The sequence below is a fragment of the Homo sapiens genome, chromosome 7 (assembly GCF_000001405.40).
Source record: "Homo sapiens chromosome 7, GRCh38.p14 Primary Assembly".
NCBI classification, from domain to species: domain Eukaryota; kingdom Metazoa; phylum Chordata; class Mammalia; order Primates; family Hominidae; genus Homo; species Homo sapiens.
In genome coordinates, this window is record NC_000007.14 from 31,465,555 (window position 1) to 31,479,330 (window position 13,776).

General features: G+C 44.1%; 4 annotated features.

Annotated features, from left to right (window-relative positions):
- Window positions 447-1,158: an enhancer, noted in NCBI's record as "OCT4-NANOG-H3K27ac hESC enhancer chr7:31505615-31506326 (GRCh37/hg19 assembly coordinates)". NCBI's record gives its function as "activates a minimal SCP1, AML or CMV promoter by ChIP-STARR-seq in naive and primed H9 embryonic stem cells {active_cell/tissue: H9 hESC(naive and primed)}" and the evidence as "EXISTENCE:reporter gene assay evidence [ECO:0000049][PMID:30033119]".
- Window positions 1,159-1,869: an enhancer, noted in NCBI's record as "OCT4-NANOG hESC enhancer chr7:31506327-31507037 (GRCh37/hg19 assembly coordinates)". NCBI's record gives its function as "activates a minimal SCP1, AML or CMV promoter by ChIP-STARR-seq in naive H9 embryonic stem cells {active_cell/tissue: H9 hESC(naive)}" and the evidence as "EXISTENCE:reporter gene assay evidence [ECO:0000049][PMID:30033119]".
- Window positions 12,038-13,237: an enhancer, noted in NCBI's record as "CDK7 strongly-dependent group 2 enhancer chr7:31517206-31518405 (GRCh37/hg19 assembly coordinates)". NCBI's record gives its function as "activates an origin of replication core promoter dependent on BRD2, BRD4, P300/CBP, MED14 and CDK7 cofactors, with strong dependence on CDK7, by STARR-seq in HCT116 cells {active_cell/tissue: HCT116}" and the evidence as "EXISTENCE:reporter gene assay evidence [ECO:0000049][PMID:35650434]".
- Window positions 13,220-13,309: an enhancer, noted in NCBI's record as "active region_25823". NCBI's record gives its function as "activates an Ori minimal core promoter by ATAC-STARR-seq in GM12878 lymphoblastoid cells {active_cell/tissue: GM12878}" and the evidence as "EXISTENCE:reporter gene assay evidence [ECO:0000049][PMID:35858748]".

Genomic DNA, 13,776 nt, shown 5'->3' on the forward strand with positions numbered 1-13,776 from the left:
CCTCCTGGTTATTGCAAATGACCAGAGCCCATGGAGGCGCAGGTTTCACATTCAGTCTCAAATTTGAACTTACATCACTGACTCTCACTGAGTCCAAAATCACAGCCTCAGAAGTATACAAGCAGGACTGGAAAAAAGTCAGCTGAAAACTGAAAATCTGTTTTGTTGCTTATCAGCCCAGGCAAGCTGATGAACATCTCTGCCTCAGCTTCCTTGTCTTTGAAATACCGGTAATAGAATCTACTTGATAAGATTGAGGGGAAAATTAAATGACATAATATATAAAAAGTACTTTGAGCAGCGTCTAACATACAGTAAGCACTCAGTAAATGTAAGCTGTTTTTATTTTTATTTCTACCAGACACTTGTGAACAACAGCATGATTATATTAGATCATATTTCGGGTATGAAACATCAATTTGTTAAATGTAAATATTTTAAAAATACCATCATATCTGTGACCTATTTTGACATTTATTGATACATCTTTTAATATACCAGAGCCTTAAAACAATCCAAGAGGTTTGGATTGGTCTCTACCTCTGAGTGGATTTGACAATGATCACTAAAGCAGAACTGCCTGTAGAAACTGAATGTGAAAGAAAGCAGTGATGGAGAATGAGAAAGAGGTGATTGTCTTCCTAATTGCTAGAAGTGTCTTGAATGCCAACCCTCTATTGTTCTTTAAAAGGTACTTGATATGGTGATAAAATAACTGTTGCAGCACTATTCATGTCAACGTCATTGTTATTCAAACAATCAGGACCAGTTGGAAACTGTCTTCAGGCACTTGATACATAGGCAAGGCTAGCTCTCAGTATTTCTGTAAGCAAATGGGACTGTTGAAGGTTGCTTTGTGAATTACATTTCAAACTACAGAACTGTAGCCAGCCCACAAGGGATATTAGCAGTTCCATTGCTTATCAACTAGAATTAGAGTTTGGGGGCTAAGACTGGAGTCTCTGGAAAAAGGAGGGAAAAAACATCTAGCTTGATGATTGGGCAGAAAACTCCAACTTTCCACAGGAAAAAAAATTGCTAAAAGAAAGGGTAAATTACTGGACATGATTATTCATACCAGGTGAACTAGTCTTTGGAAATTCAGAGCTGATGAAATATATATTTTAGCTGATGGAATATGTATTTTAATATATATTTTAGTAGCAATGACAGCTTTACTACTTTTTAGTATTGTCAAATAAAGAAAATATTCACAGTAAGTTTTGGTATTTCTGAGTACCAATTTATTTCTTCGAAAAGGCATTCTACCTACCTGAAAGATAGTGGCACTCACCCTGGACTAATTCACTCGCGTCCGTGTGAAGAGACCACCAAACAGGCTTTGTGTGAGCAATAAAGCTGTTTATTTCACCTGGGTGCAGGCGGGCTGAATCCAAAAAGAGAGTCAGCGAAGGGAGATGGGGTGGGGCCCTTCTGTAGGATTTGGGTAGGTAAAGGAAAAAGGGGGGTTTTTCTCCGGTGGGCAGGAGTGGGGGTCACAAGGTGCTCAGTAGGGTAGCTTTTGAGCCAGGATGAGCCAGGAGAAGGAATTTCAGAAGATAATGTCATCAGTTAAGGCAGGAACAGGCCATTTTCACTTCTTTTGTGGTGGAATGTCATCAGTTAAGGCAGGAACTGGCCATCTGGATGTGTACATGCAGGTCACAGGGGATATGATGGCTTAGATTGGGCTCGGAGGCCTGACATTCCTGTCTTCTTATATTAATAAGAAAAATAAAATGAAATAGTGGTAAAGTGTTGGGACGGTGAAAATTTCTGGGGGGTGGTATGGAGAGATAATGGGCGATGTTTCTCAGGGCTTCTTTGAGTGGGATTAGGGGCGGCGTGGGAACCTAGAGTGGGAGAGATTAAGCTGAAGGAAGATTTTGTGGTAAGGGGTGATATTGTGGGGTTGTTAGAAGAAACATTTGTCATTTAGAATTATTGGTGATGACCTGGATACAGTTTTGTATGAATTGAAAAACTAAACGGAATAAGAGAAGGAGAAAAACAGTATTAAAGGACTAAGAATTGGGAGGACCTAGGACATCTAATTAGTGCCTAAGGAGGTTCAACATAGCCTTGCCAGCAAAGAGTATTTATTTACTTTAAGAGTTCAGAGTGGCGGTTTGGGGATAGCACCAGCAGATATCAGCTGTGATGGCTTGGAGAAACAGTGTAAACTGGCAGTGTAAACAAGAGCAGGGCATGTATGAGTAGTTGAGAACGGTGAATAGCAGTATGACTAGACAGAAGATAGTAGGGATGACAAGTTTTTTGGGGCACAGTCCAAGTTGGTCTGGTGTCTGGAATGAGACTGGGGCCTAATAAAAAGGAGCATCTATACAGGAGCTCAAATGGGCTGTACCTTGTAGCATTCTGAGGACAGGCCTGAATTCTGAGAAGGGAAAGTGGTAAAAGTATTGTCCAGTCCTTTTTAAATTGGTGGCTGAGCTTGGTGAGGTGTGTTTTTAAAAGACCATTAGTCTGTTCTACCTTTCCTGAAGACTGAGGACTGTAAGGGATATAAAGGTTTCACTGAATACTAAGAGTCTGAAAAAATGCTTGGCTGATTTGACTAATAAAGGCCGGTCTGCTATCAGACTGTATAGAGGTGGGAAGGCCGAACTGAGGAATTATGTCTGACAGAAGGGAAGAAATGACCGTGGTGGCCCTCTTAGATCCTGTGGGAAAGGCTTCTACCTATCCAGTGAAAGTGTCTACCTAGACCAAGAGGTATTTTAGTTTCCTGACTCGGGGCATGTTGAGTAAAGCTAATTTGCCAGTCCTGGGCAGGGGCAAATCCCTGAGCTTGAAGTGTAGGGAAGGGAGGGGGCCTGAATAATCCCTGAGGAGTAGTAGAATAGCAGATGGAACACTGAGAAGTTATTTCCTTGAGAATAGATCTCTACAATGGAAAGGAAATGAGAGGTTCTAAGAGGCAGGCTAGTGGCTTGTGCTATAGCATAGCCTGCCTTTGCTGGTGTGTGGCGATTAGGCCTGGTGGAACTGCCATCAATAAACCAAGTGTGATCAGGGTGAGAAACAGGGAAGAAGGAAATGTGGGGAAATGGGGTGAACGTCAGGTGGATCAGAGAGATGCAGTCATGAGGGTCAGGTGTGGTATCTGGGATAATGTGGGAGGCTGGATTGAAGTCCAGGCCAGGAACAATGGTAATTGTGGGAGACTCAACAAAGAGTGAGTACAGCTGAAGGAGCCAGGGAGCAGAAAGTATATGCATCAGGTGTGAGGAAGAAAATAGATTTTGGAAATTATGAGAGCTGTAGAGAGTGAGTTGAGCATAGTTTGTGATTTTAAGGGCCTCTAAAAGTATTAGGGCAGCAGCAGCCGCTGCACGGAGACATGATGGCCAGCCTAAAACAGTAAGGTCAAGTTGTTTGGACAAAATGGCTACTGGACATGATCCCAGTCCTTGTGTAAGAATTCCGACTGCATAGTCCTGCACTTCAGCTGTGTGTAATGAAAAGGTTGAGATGAGTCAGGGAGAGCTAGGGTGGGGGCAGTCTCTAAAGCTGTCTTCAAGGAACGGAAAGAGGAGTGGGGAAAGGATTTAGGATCTATGGGGTCAGCTAGGTTTCCTTTTGTGAGTTTATATAATGGTTTTGTTAGGATGGCAAAACCAGGTATCCAAAGGCGAAAGTATCCAACTATGCCCAGGAAGGAAAGGAGCTGTTGTTTTGTAGAAGGGGTTGGGGTTTGAGAGATTAGTCAGACACAATCGGCAGGGAGAGCACGTGTGTTTTTATGAGAATTATGCTGAGATAGGTAACAGATAAGGAAGAAATTTGGGCTTGACTGAAGTAATGGGGGCTGTCTGTGAAGCTTTGTGGCAGTACAGCCCAGGTAATTTGCTGAACCTGATGGGTGTCAGGGTCAGCCCAAGTGAAAGCGGAGAGAGGCTGGGATGAAGCATGCAAAGGAATAGTAAAGAAAGCAAGTTTGAGATCCAGAACAGAATAATGGATTGTGGAGGGAGGTATTGAGGATAGGAGAGTATATGGGTTTGGCACCACGGGGTGGATAGGAAAAACAATTTGGTTGATAAGGCATAGATCCTGAACTAACTTGTAAGGCTTATCTGGTTTTAGGACAGGTAAAATGGGGGAATTGTAAGGAGAGTTTATAGGCTTTAAAAGGCCATGCTGTAGCAGGCGAGTGATAGCAGGCTTTAATCCTTTCAAAGCATGCTGTGGGATGGGATATTGGCATTGAGCGGGGTAAGGGTGATTAGGTTTTAATGAGATGGTAAGGGGTGCATGATCCCAAGGAGGGAGTAGAGGTATCTTATACTTGTGGGTTAAGGTGGGCGGATACAAGAGGAGGACGCAAAGGAGGGTTTGGATTGGGAAGAAGGGCGGCAATGAGATGTAGCTGTAGTCCAGGAATTGTCAGGGAAGCAGATAATTTAGTTAAAGTGTCTCGGCCTAATAAGGGAACTGGGCAGGTGGGGATAACTAAAAAGGAGTGCTTAAAAGAGTATTGTTAAAGTTGGCACCAGAGTTGGGGAGTTTTAAGAGGTTTAGAAGCCTGGCTGTCAATACCCACAACAGTTATGGAAGCAAGGGAAACAGGCCCTTGAAAAGAAGGTAATGAGTGGGTAGCCTCCGTATTGATTAAGAAGAGGACGGACTTACCCTTCACTGTGAGAGTTACCTAAAGCTCGGCGTCCACGATGGTCTATGGGGCTTCTGAGGCGATCGGGCAGCGTCAGTCTTCAGCCGCTAAGCCGAGAAGATCTGGGAAGGAGTCAGTCAGAGAGCCTTGGGCCAGAGTTCCAGGGGCTCTGGGAGTGGCTGGCAGGTGAGTTGAACAGTCCAATTTCCAGTAGGGTCCCGCACAGATGGGACATGGCTTAGGAGGAATCCCAGGCTGTGGGCATTCCTTGGCCTGGTGGCCAGATTTCTTGCACTTGTAGCAAGCTCCTGGGGGAGGTGGTTCTGGAGGAAGCCTGGCCACTGCGGTTTAGGCGTTTGGAAGTTCTTGTGTGCTGGAGATGTGGCTGGGGTTTGTCTCACAGTGGAGGCAAGGAATTGCAACTCAGAAATATGTTGCTTCTTGGCTGCATCTGCTCTATCATTGTACACTTTGAAGGTGAGGTTAATTAAGTCCTGTTGTGGGGTTTGAGGGCCGGAATTTAACTTTTGGAGTTTTATTTAATGTTAGGAGCAGATTGGGTAATAAAATGTATATTGAGAATAAGACAGCCTTTTGACCTTTTAGGGTCTAGGGCTATAAAGCGTCTCAGGGTTGCTGCCGAACGAGCCATGAACTGGGCTGGGTTTTTATATTTGATGAAAAAGAGCCTAAACACTATCTGATTTGGGATAAAGAAAAAGGAGCATTAACCTTGACTATGCCTTTAGCTCCAGCCACCTTTTTAAGAGTAAATTGCTGGGCAAGTGGGGGAGGGCTAGTCATGGAAGGAAACTGTAAGCCGGACCAGGTGTGAGAAGGGGAGGTGATAAAAGGATTATAGGGTGGAGGAGTGGAGGCTGAGAAAGAATTGGGACTTAGCTCGGCCTGGCGAGGAGGGGAGAGGTCAGATGCGTCTGTAAAAAAGGAAGATTAGAAAGACACAGCGACGCTTGGGGTTGGGACTGAGGGGACAGGTGGGAGGGAAAGAAGGAAGATTTGGGATGAGTTGCATTGGGAACAGAGACTAGAGAGGGACGGATGTGTAAAAGAATGCCTGGACGTCAGGCACCTCAGACTGTTTGCCTATTTTACGACAAGAATTATTTAGATCTTGTAGGATGGAAAAATTGAAAGTGCTGTTTTCCAGCTATTTGGAACTACTGTCAAATTTGTATTGGGGTCAAGCAGCATTGCAGAAGAAAATAAGATGCTTAGATTTTAGGCCAGGTGAGAGTAGAAGAGGTTTTAAGTTCTTAAGAACACAGGCTAAGGGAGAAGAAGGAGGAATGGAAGGTGGAAGCTTGCCCATAGTGAAGGAGGCAAGCCCAGAGAAAAGAGTAGAGACACGGAGAAGGGGTGGGGGGTTCTTGCCCTCCAGAAAAGCAGAGAAGGGGTTGCAGCATGGAAATAAGGGGAAGGCTGCCTTCCCTAGTCTGTGACCCGCGCCAGAGTTTTGGGTCCACGGATAAAATGTGTCTCCTTTGTCTCTACCAGAAAATGAAAGGAATTGAAATTAAGAGAAGGGAGAGATTGAAGTGTGGCGCCAAGATTGAAAGGAGAAAGAGGTTGAGGGATAGTGAGGGAAGTTGGAGAAGAGAGTAAAAAGAGGCCGCTTACCAGATTTGAAATTGGTGAGGTGTTTCTTGGGCTGGTCGGTCTGAGGACCTGAGGTCGTAGGTGGATCTTTCTCATGGAGCAAAGAGCAGGAGGACAGGGGATTGATCTCCCAAGGGAGGTCCCCCGATCCAAGTCAGGGCACCAAATTTCACTCGTGTCCATATGAAGAGACCACCAAACAGGATTTGTGTGAGCAATAAAGCTGTTTATTTCACCTGGGTGCAGGCGGGCTGAGTCCGAAAAGAGAGTCAGAGAAGGGAGATAGGGGTGGGGCCATCTTACAGGATTTGGGTAGGTAAAGGAAAAAGGGGGGTTGTTCGCTGGCGGGCAGGAGTGGGGGGTCACAAGGTGCTCAGTAGGGGAGCTTTTGAGCCAGGATGAGCCAGGAGAAGGAATTTCAGAAGATAATGTCATCAGTTAAGGCAGGAACAGGCCATTTTCACTTCTTTTGTGGTGGAATGTCATCAGTTAAGGCAGGAACTGGCCATCTGGATGTGTACGTGCAGGTCACAGTGGATATGATGGCTTAGCTTGGGCTCAGAGGCCTGACACGTAGGACTTAGCAAAGCTAAAGCTTCAGCCTACGGGGGGTAAAACTAGTTCATAGTGAATTCCACAGGGAGAAATCCAGCCCCAGGTGCACACAGGAGCAGAGAGGGAAGGCTCCCATTTTGAAGCTCTGGGCCAAGGAGTTGTACTTTGAACAGAGGGCTGTCTTCTCAGGAATAGTCTTAACTTCAATAACTTGGAGGGGAAATTGCTATGTGTGTGGGGCTCAGTGGTCCCCAACCTTTTTGGCACCAGGGACCAATAATTTTTCCGTGGACTTGGGAGGGTTAGGGGGTGGGGGATGGTTTCCGGATGATTCCAGTACATGACATTTATTGTGCACTTTATTCCTAATATTGCATTGTAATATATAATGAAATAATTATGCCACTCACCATAATGTAGAATCAGTGGGAGCCCTGAGCTTGTTTTCCTGGAACTAGACTGTCCCATCTGGAAATAATGGGAGACAGTGACAGATCATTAGGCATTAGATACTCATAAGGAGTATGCAACCTAGATCCCTCACATGCGCAGTTCCCAATAGGGTGTGCCCTTCTATGAGAATCTAATGCCATCCACTGATCTGACAAGAGGCGGAGCTCAGGTGGTGATGAAGCTTTGCTCACTCACCTGCCGCTCACCTCCTTCTGTGTGACCCAGTACGCCCTGGTACTGATCTGTGGCATGGGGGCTGAGGACCCCTGCTCTAGCTCTCATTTTATATAAATTTTATTTACCCAGAGAATAGGTACTATATCCCCATTACAAAAATAAGAAAATGGAGGCTCAGAGACTGTCTGGGACTTGTCCCAGGTCACACAGCTGTTAATTTGGCAGGAGTGGGTGGGGCTGGGATCAAACCCCAAATCTTTCCTCTTCATGCATGATCTTTTCTGCTCTATCCAAGCTGCTTCTCATCACACAGTTCTGCCTCCCCTCCCAGTCCAGATATCTCTAACAACCCTTGGAGTTGTCTTTTAAACAGAGAATTACAAAGACAGATTATGTGAAAGTGGCTGAATCTGCATCATGGGATAAGAGCTAGCTGCAGTTGACTCTTCAATTAACTTAAGTGTAATCGTTATATTCCTGCTGACATCATTTGCCACATCTGCCTCATTGTAATCAATTAGTTAATTGATATCTAGCTTGGTTATAAAAAGGTACAAACAGTTTAACAAGCTGAAAATATTATGGAAGAAATCAGAGGGAGCAAAAATAAGACATAAGAAAAAGCTCAGGAAAACACAGCAGTTCTCATTCATACTTCACCAAGGATGTGGCTTTGTCTGGCAGAGCACTGTGCCTCTTTGTTCATTTCCCAGGTCCGACAAATGCTTCTGCTTGGGCTCAACTCAGTTCTTATCACAGGTGGATGGCAGCACGGGGCTATTGCTTCCTTCTTCCTTAAACAGGAGACTTATCACCCATGGTAGAGAATGGTTTGTATCAGTGGATAAAATAGATCAAAGTTCAATATTTTGCCCAACCTGTTAAAATATTAGTTTATTTCCTGCTAAGACCCTTTCTATATACATGTATAAACATTTCTGCTGAGTTGAAATTATACCATATACATAATTTTATACTCTGCTTTGTTTTTCTCAACAATATGTTGTTACAGCATGCAAAATTATATGAAATTCTATGAAAACAGTTTGGGAAACCAATTTAATTGTTTTTTTTTAATTGTGAGAAATATATATTCATATGGAAGACTACTCAGGGGTATACAAGGGCCTGGACTCTCCCTACCCACACCCAGCCCTGTCTCGTCTCCAGCACACTTTGCAAAAATGCCTGGCCTGAGTAACACCTCTTGCTGTTAGGGTAAATCTCTGACTCTCTGGGGCCTGTTCCTTGGGGCCAATGTCCTGTAGCTGAGCTGCAGAATTGGATAGGAGTGCTTGTACATGACCTCTCTTGATCTAGAAATGATTTTCTCCTTAGCCAGAGACATTTCTTCCTTGCTAGTTTTTGCCTAACTCTATAAAATATCCTGCCCCCTACTCCCACCCCAGGTACCCTGGCTACCAAAGGTCAGTTCCACTACTTGGTGATTTCATTATGACCATTGCATTATGCATGTGGAGGATCCAGCTGTATCTGCCAGTTTGTTCTGCCGTGATGCCTTTGCACAGGCGGGCCTGTGAGCTTGTGTAAGCCAGGCAGTGCATAATCCATCCAAGCACTGAGTCCATGTGGGCTGATTAAAGCAAACTCTAAGCAACAAGACACTCTAGACTGTGCCCAGGGCTTCCAACCACTTGTCCTTTCTCCTGGACTCTTGGCTTCAGGTTTTGGACTCTCTATCCAACATTGACGGCTGCCTCTGATATCCTCTGGCAACTTTCTTGCCTCTTTTTACTTCTTGGTCTTTGGCTGGTTCATTCCTATGACTTTTGCTGTTTTCTGTTACCTTGTGCATTTCCTTTATCCTAACCTCATGGCCATATGGAATTTCAGTTCCTGCCAGGGTAAACATATCTTCCCTGCATCCCCTGTCCCTTTTTCGTTGGGATAAAACATAGTCCAACAGTTTGTCTATAAATGTTGTTGGGACCCTCATAACCTACAATGGGGCAATGCACAAAGTCCTGGTCACTCTCCCACTGCCCATTCCTGGGGACTTGAGAGTGGCAGGAAGGAAAAATCGTCATAATTGTTCTCCAAAAGAAAGATGACGAGGCGATATAGTGGACATCAAATTTACATCAGCCACTGCTTAGGGTGACACTGCCTTGCCCACATTTCTTCTCTCAGACTAATTCTGGAGGACTTCCAGTAAATTTCCAGGCTCCCAAGCCCCTCACCAAGGGTAGGGGTGGGAGGGGATGAGAAGACTGGCCCTGCAGAATCCTTGGTGAGGATCTGGCAGGACTGACGGCCCCTCTGTGGAGGCATTCCACAGCCACCATTCCTGTCTCCTTTAGCTGATTTAGCACAGAATTCTGCCAGACTAGGAGCAGGACAGATTCTCAGAAGACTTCAGAGGGTCCCTTTAGGGAGGGCCCTCTCATTCACTGGTGGTGTGGGTAAAAAGGGCAAACTTTCCAGAAGGTGATAAGCATTTGTAATTTTCTATATAACTTTGTCCCAGACATTCTACTTCTAGGAATTTACACTCTAGGAAATGATTGGACAAGGATAGAAAGGGCAACTAAGTAACTAACTCAGGAATGTAACTAACTGTAAGAATGCCTTTGCCAGAGTTGGCCATAAAAGACAAAGACACTTAAAGAGGGGGGGAAGGAAAAAGAAACACACAGAGAGAGAGAGAGAGAGAGAGAGATGACTTTACTGTCCCACAATGTGGGGTTTGTTAAATAAACCACTGTCTATCTGTAAATGAACTACGATAACACTATGTAACTTTCCAAAATGATTTATATGCACTTCCTAGCCTGGAATCTCTTCTTGTTATATTGTTAAGTTAGAAAAAGCAGGTTACCAAACAGTATCATTTTGAGGATATGCATTAAATGTTAACAGTGGTTATCTGTGGGTAGTGTGATTTCAGGTGACTTTTAAAAATTATTTTTGTTTATATGCCTTTTTTGAAATCATCTACAAAAACATGTATTGCCTCTGTAATTAAAAACAAGTCAAGGAGGAACGTGACTCGTCGAGTCACTGAACATCCCGCCATTGTAATCTCACTCTTTGTGTGAGAAGCAACAACTGCCCTGGAGACCCAGACACATCGTCCTGCCTTTGAAACGACCTTCTCTCCACAAATCAGGATGAGCTGAGAAATAGGGTGGAGAACCATGTGCTTGCCAGAGGTCACCTAGTGTAAATCCCTGGCATTGGCAGTCTTACCCCACAGCAGAAGCCCATCCCAGGGCTAACCCTGAGAAATGAGTTTTCAAGAGCCCAGAGGGGCACTGCCATCTGTTGGTGGAGGCATCTGCACGGTACTGCCAGAGGACACTCAAGGAAATGAACAGTTCCCTCAGCTCTTCAGCTTCTGTCCTGCCCTGACAGACCCTCTTCTGATCTCAGGAAGAGTTTTCAGTTTTCTTCCAACCCACTAATAGCCAGATCTCTGCCTAACCTAACCAAACCATGCCAGAGGACCAGCTGGGAACATGTGAAAAGTGTAGTTTTCTCACCCTGTGCTGGAGTAGAGAAACCACCATGTGACAGCGTGGGCCATGAGGCATGGAGTATTCACAATTGGTGAGAAAATTCATGTGCCAGGAACACAGCTACAGGGAAAACAAAGGGCCGTGGAGTCCGTGGGAGAGACAGATGGAGCCCATTTTACAGCTGAGAAAACAGAGGAATTAAACTAATTTGCTTATAGTAACATAGGCAATGAGGATTCGAAATAACTCCTCATCTCTTTACCAGTAGAACATTAGCTGTGGTTTCAACCTCCCATCCAGATTCTTATATCTGGCCCTGTAACCCCAGAGAAAGGGATATTTTACTGCACTCATTTCTAAACATTTTGATATCATGCATCCCTCTGAGAATTTGATGAAATGTGCATATGCACATGTATGCATGCTTTTGAAAAGATTGCAAGGGGTCTATTGACCTCCTGAAGCGTCTTCCATAGTTCATAAGACAAAAACTCCTTGCCCCCAATAAGGAGCAGAGAGAGACCAGGTAAGAGTTTAAGGAACTGAAATCTAAGAAAAAAGATTTTCATCATTACTGGGAGAAAATGCCTTTGTGAAGGGCAAGAGGAAAAACAACAAAATGAGTAGGCCGTGTGATGCCGCTACCAGCAAAACATCCTAAGTGATGACAGCTGACGTGCTTGTAGTATTTTAGGATCTCTCCTCCTGCGTGTTTGTTACTTAGATACACTGACAAAGGCTCATATTTGAGATGATTATCAACTCTCCTTCCATTGAGGCCTATTAAAGCATGGCAATAAAAAAAGCTATGGGCCCGGAAAAGAACACCAAGCTATTGGTGTGATGAAAACTAGGCAATGAATATTAGTGAAATCATCCAGTGCTTTTTCTCAGGATTCTGGAACATTTTCATTTGCCTCTTGGCGTAACGAGCTTTCCCTGCAAAGTGTGCCTCCCAGACATTACCCCATTGCCCGGGACAGCAAGCACCGCTAGTGTTTGCCCTGCCTGGCCTCTGCTGTCAGGGCCTTGTTCTGTTAGAATAATTATGATAAACTCACTCTCAGTAAGTTACGGTGGCTGTTAATAATGTAATAAGTGGCCTGATTCAGAGGACAGCTGAATTGAAGCGGCAGTTTCAATGCTTCAATTATGAGAAATGAGGAATATGAGAATACCAAGCATGAAGACACTGTGGTTCCATGGTCCTAACTAAGGTGACTCAGTTTATCTGTGATGGAGCTGGCCTTGGCATCTACCCTGAGGCCAAGTTAAAAAGTACGTAGACCAGCACTAAGAATGTTGGCTCAGTGGAACCTGTCCACTTAAAACCTCCCATGGACAGGAACTTAATTGATAAGTTCCCCTACTCCCTGTTATAGAAGCCCTAGAAGAAACCTTTAGAGAGTCTGTTCATCAACCTCTGTTTCAAATCTTATAAGGTATAAATTATTATTACTGTTATTATTATTGCTGCTTAACAGATGAAGCAAGTGAGACGTCTGTAGTGGAAAAAGCACCAGTGAGTTCTGGATTCAGCGGATCTGAGCCTCAACACCCTTATCTATAAACTTGCTATGCAAGTTATTATAGACATGAATTGGATATTTTATCTAAAGTGCCTAGCGTTGAGTAGAGAGTAGGTGCTCAGAAAACAATCTCTTAAGTAACTGGCCCACTGTTACTTTTCAGGAAAATGGCAGAGCCAGATGTTCTGAGGACTAGTCCAGGACTCATTCCATGCATTCTTTCCTGCCTGGTAGCATCTTCTCAAAGCCATTGTGAAAAGAGCTTCAAATTCCCATATGGAGACGTGGAGATTCACCTTTCATGACAAACATTCTTGCAGAATTAATTCACAGCATTGCTGAGGTGGGGTAGCGGTAGATGTGAGTGATTTTTTTTTTTATAGTGTTACAATAATTTATCATCCTCTTTCCAGCAGCCGTACTCTGGCTGGCAGCTCTAAAAACCCTACAGTCGATGAGAGATCAGTGAACAGAAATATTTTCAAGAGCAGATGGGACGTACCTTCAAAACGCAGGATTGTCCCACTGAAACTGGGACATCTGGCAACCCTAAAAAAGCCCAAACTAGATGAAATAAAAATTATGAGATGGAGAAGCAGAAAAATATGTCTTTGCATTGATTAGCAGGGAATGTAATTAATCTCCTTCAACTCCCTTTTCAGTCCTGTGGTGTAAAACAAGGAGAAATTGCAGTCTTACTGGGTTCCCTTGTGACTATTCTTACGTGATAATTTCAAAGTAGTATGCGTTTTAAAACTTCATAGTAATGCCTCCCTTTCTATTGCTTAGAAATGTCTAGGGAGTGATAAAATTCATGCCTAAACTTCCTCAATACAATGCTTTTGTTATTAGCCCAGCCAACAGTGAGGGGGAGGAGCATTCAGCTGATTCAGATCAGGCCAGCTTTTACGGTTTTCGTAGGAAATGATAGAAACAAATCTTTCTTTTTGTATTAGTAGTTTCTGTTCCTGATTTCTCTTTCTGTGAGGTGAAGAAGCAAGGAGGAAGAGCATACCAGCCCCAGAGAAAGGAGAGAAGACCTCGGGCTTTCCTTCTCACTGCTCTTCCTTCCTCCTTATTCCAGCTCGGCTCCAGCACCCAATATAATCCTGGTCATTCTCTTCTTGTCAAAACCTGCTTTCTGTGTAGACTCTCATGCCAGTGTTAGTGTGCGGCTGTGTACCTTTCTCTCCTTCCCCTGCCCTGCTTCGGTCCAGCATGGTGCCCGATACATTTTAAGTACTGTAAAGTGAAATGTTTGAGGATTTGGACAGGTGCATTTGGTCTGGAAGAAGACTAGATGAGGGATTAGTACCTGAGTTCAGTTTAT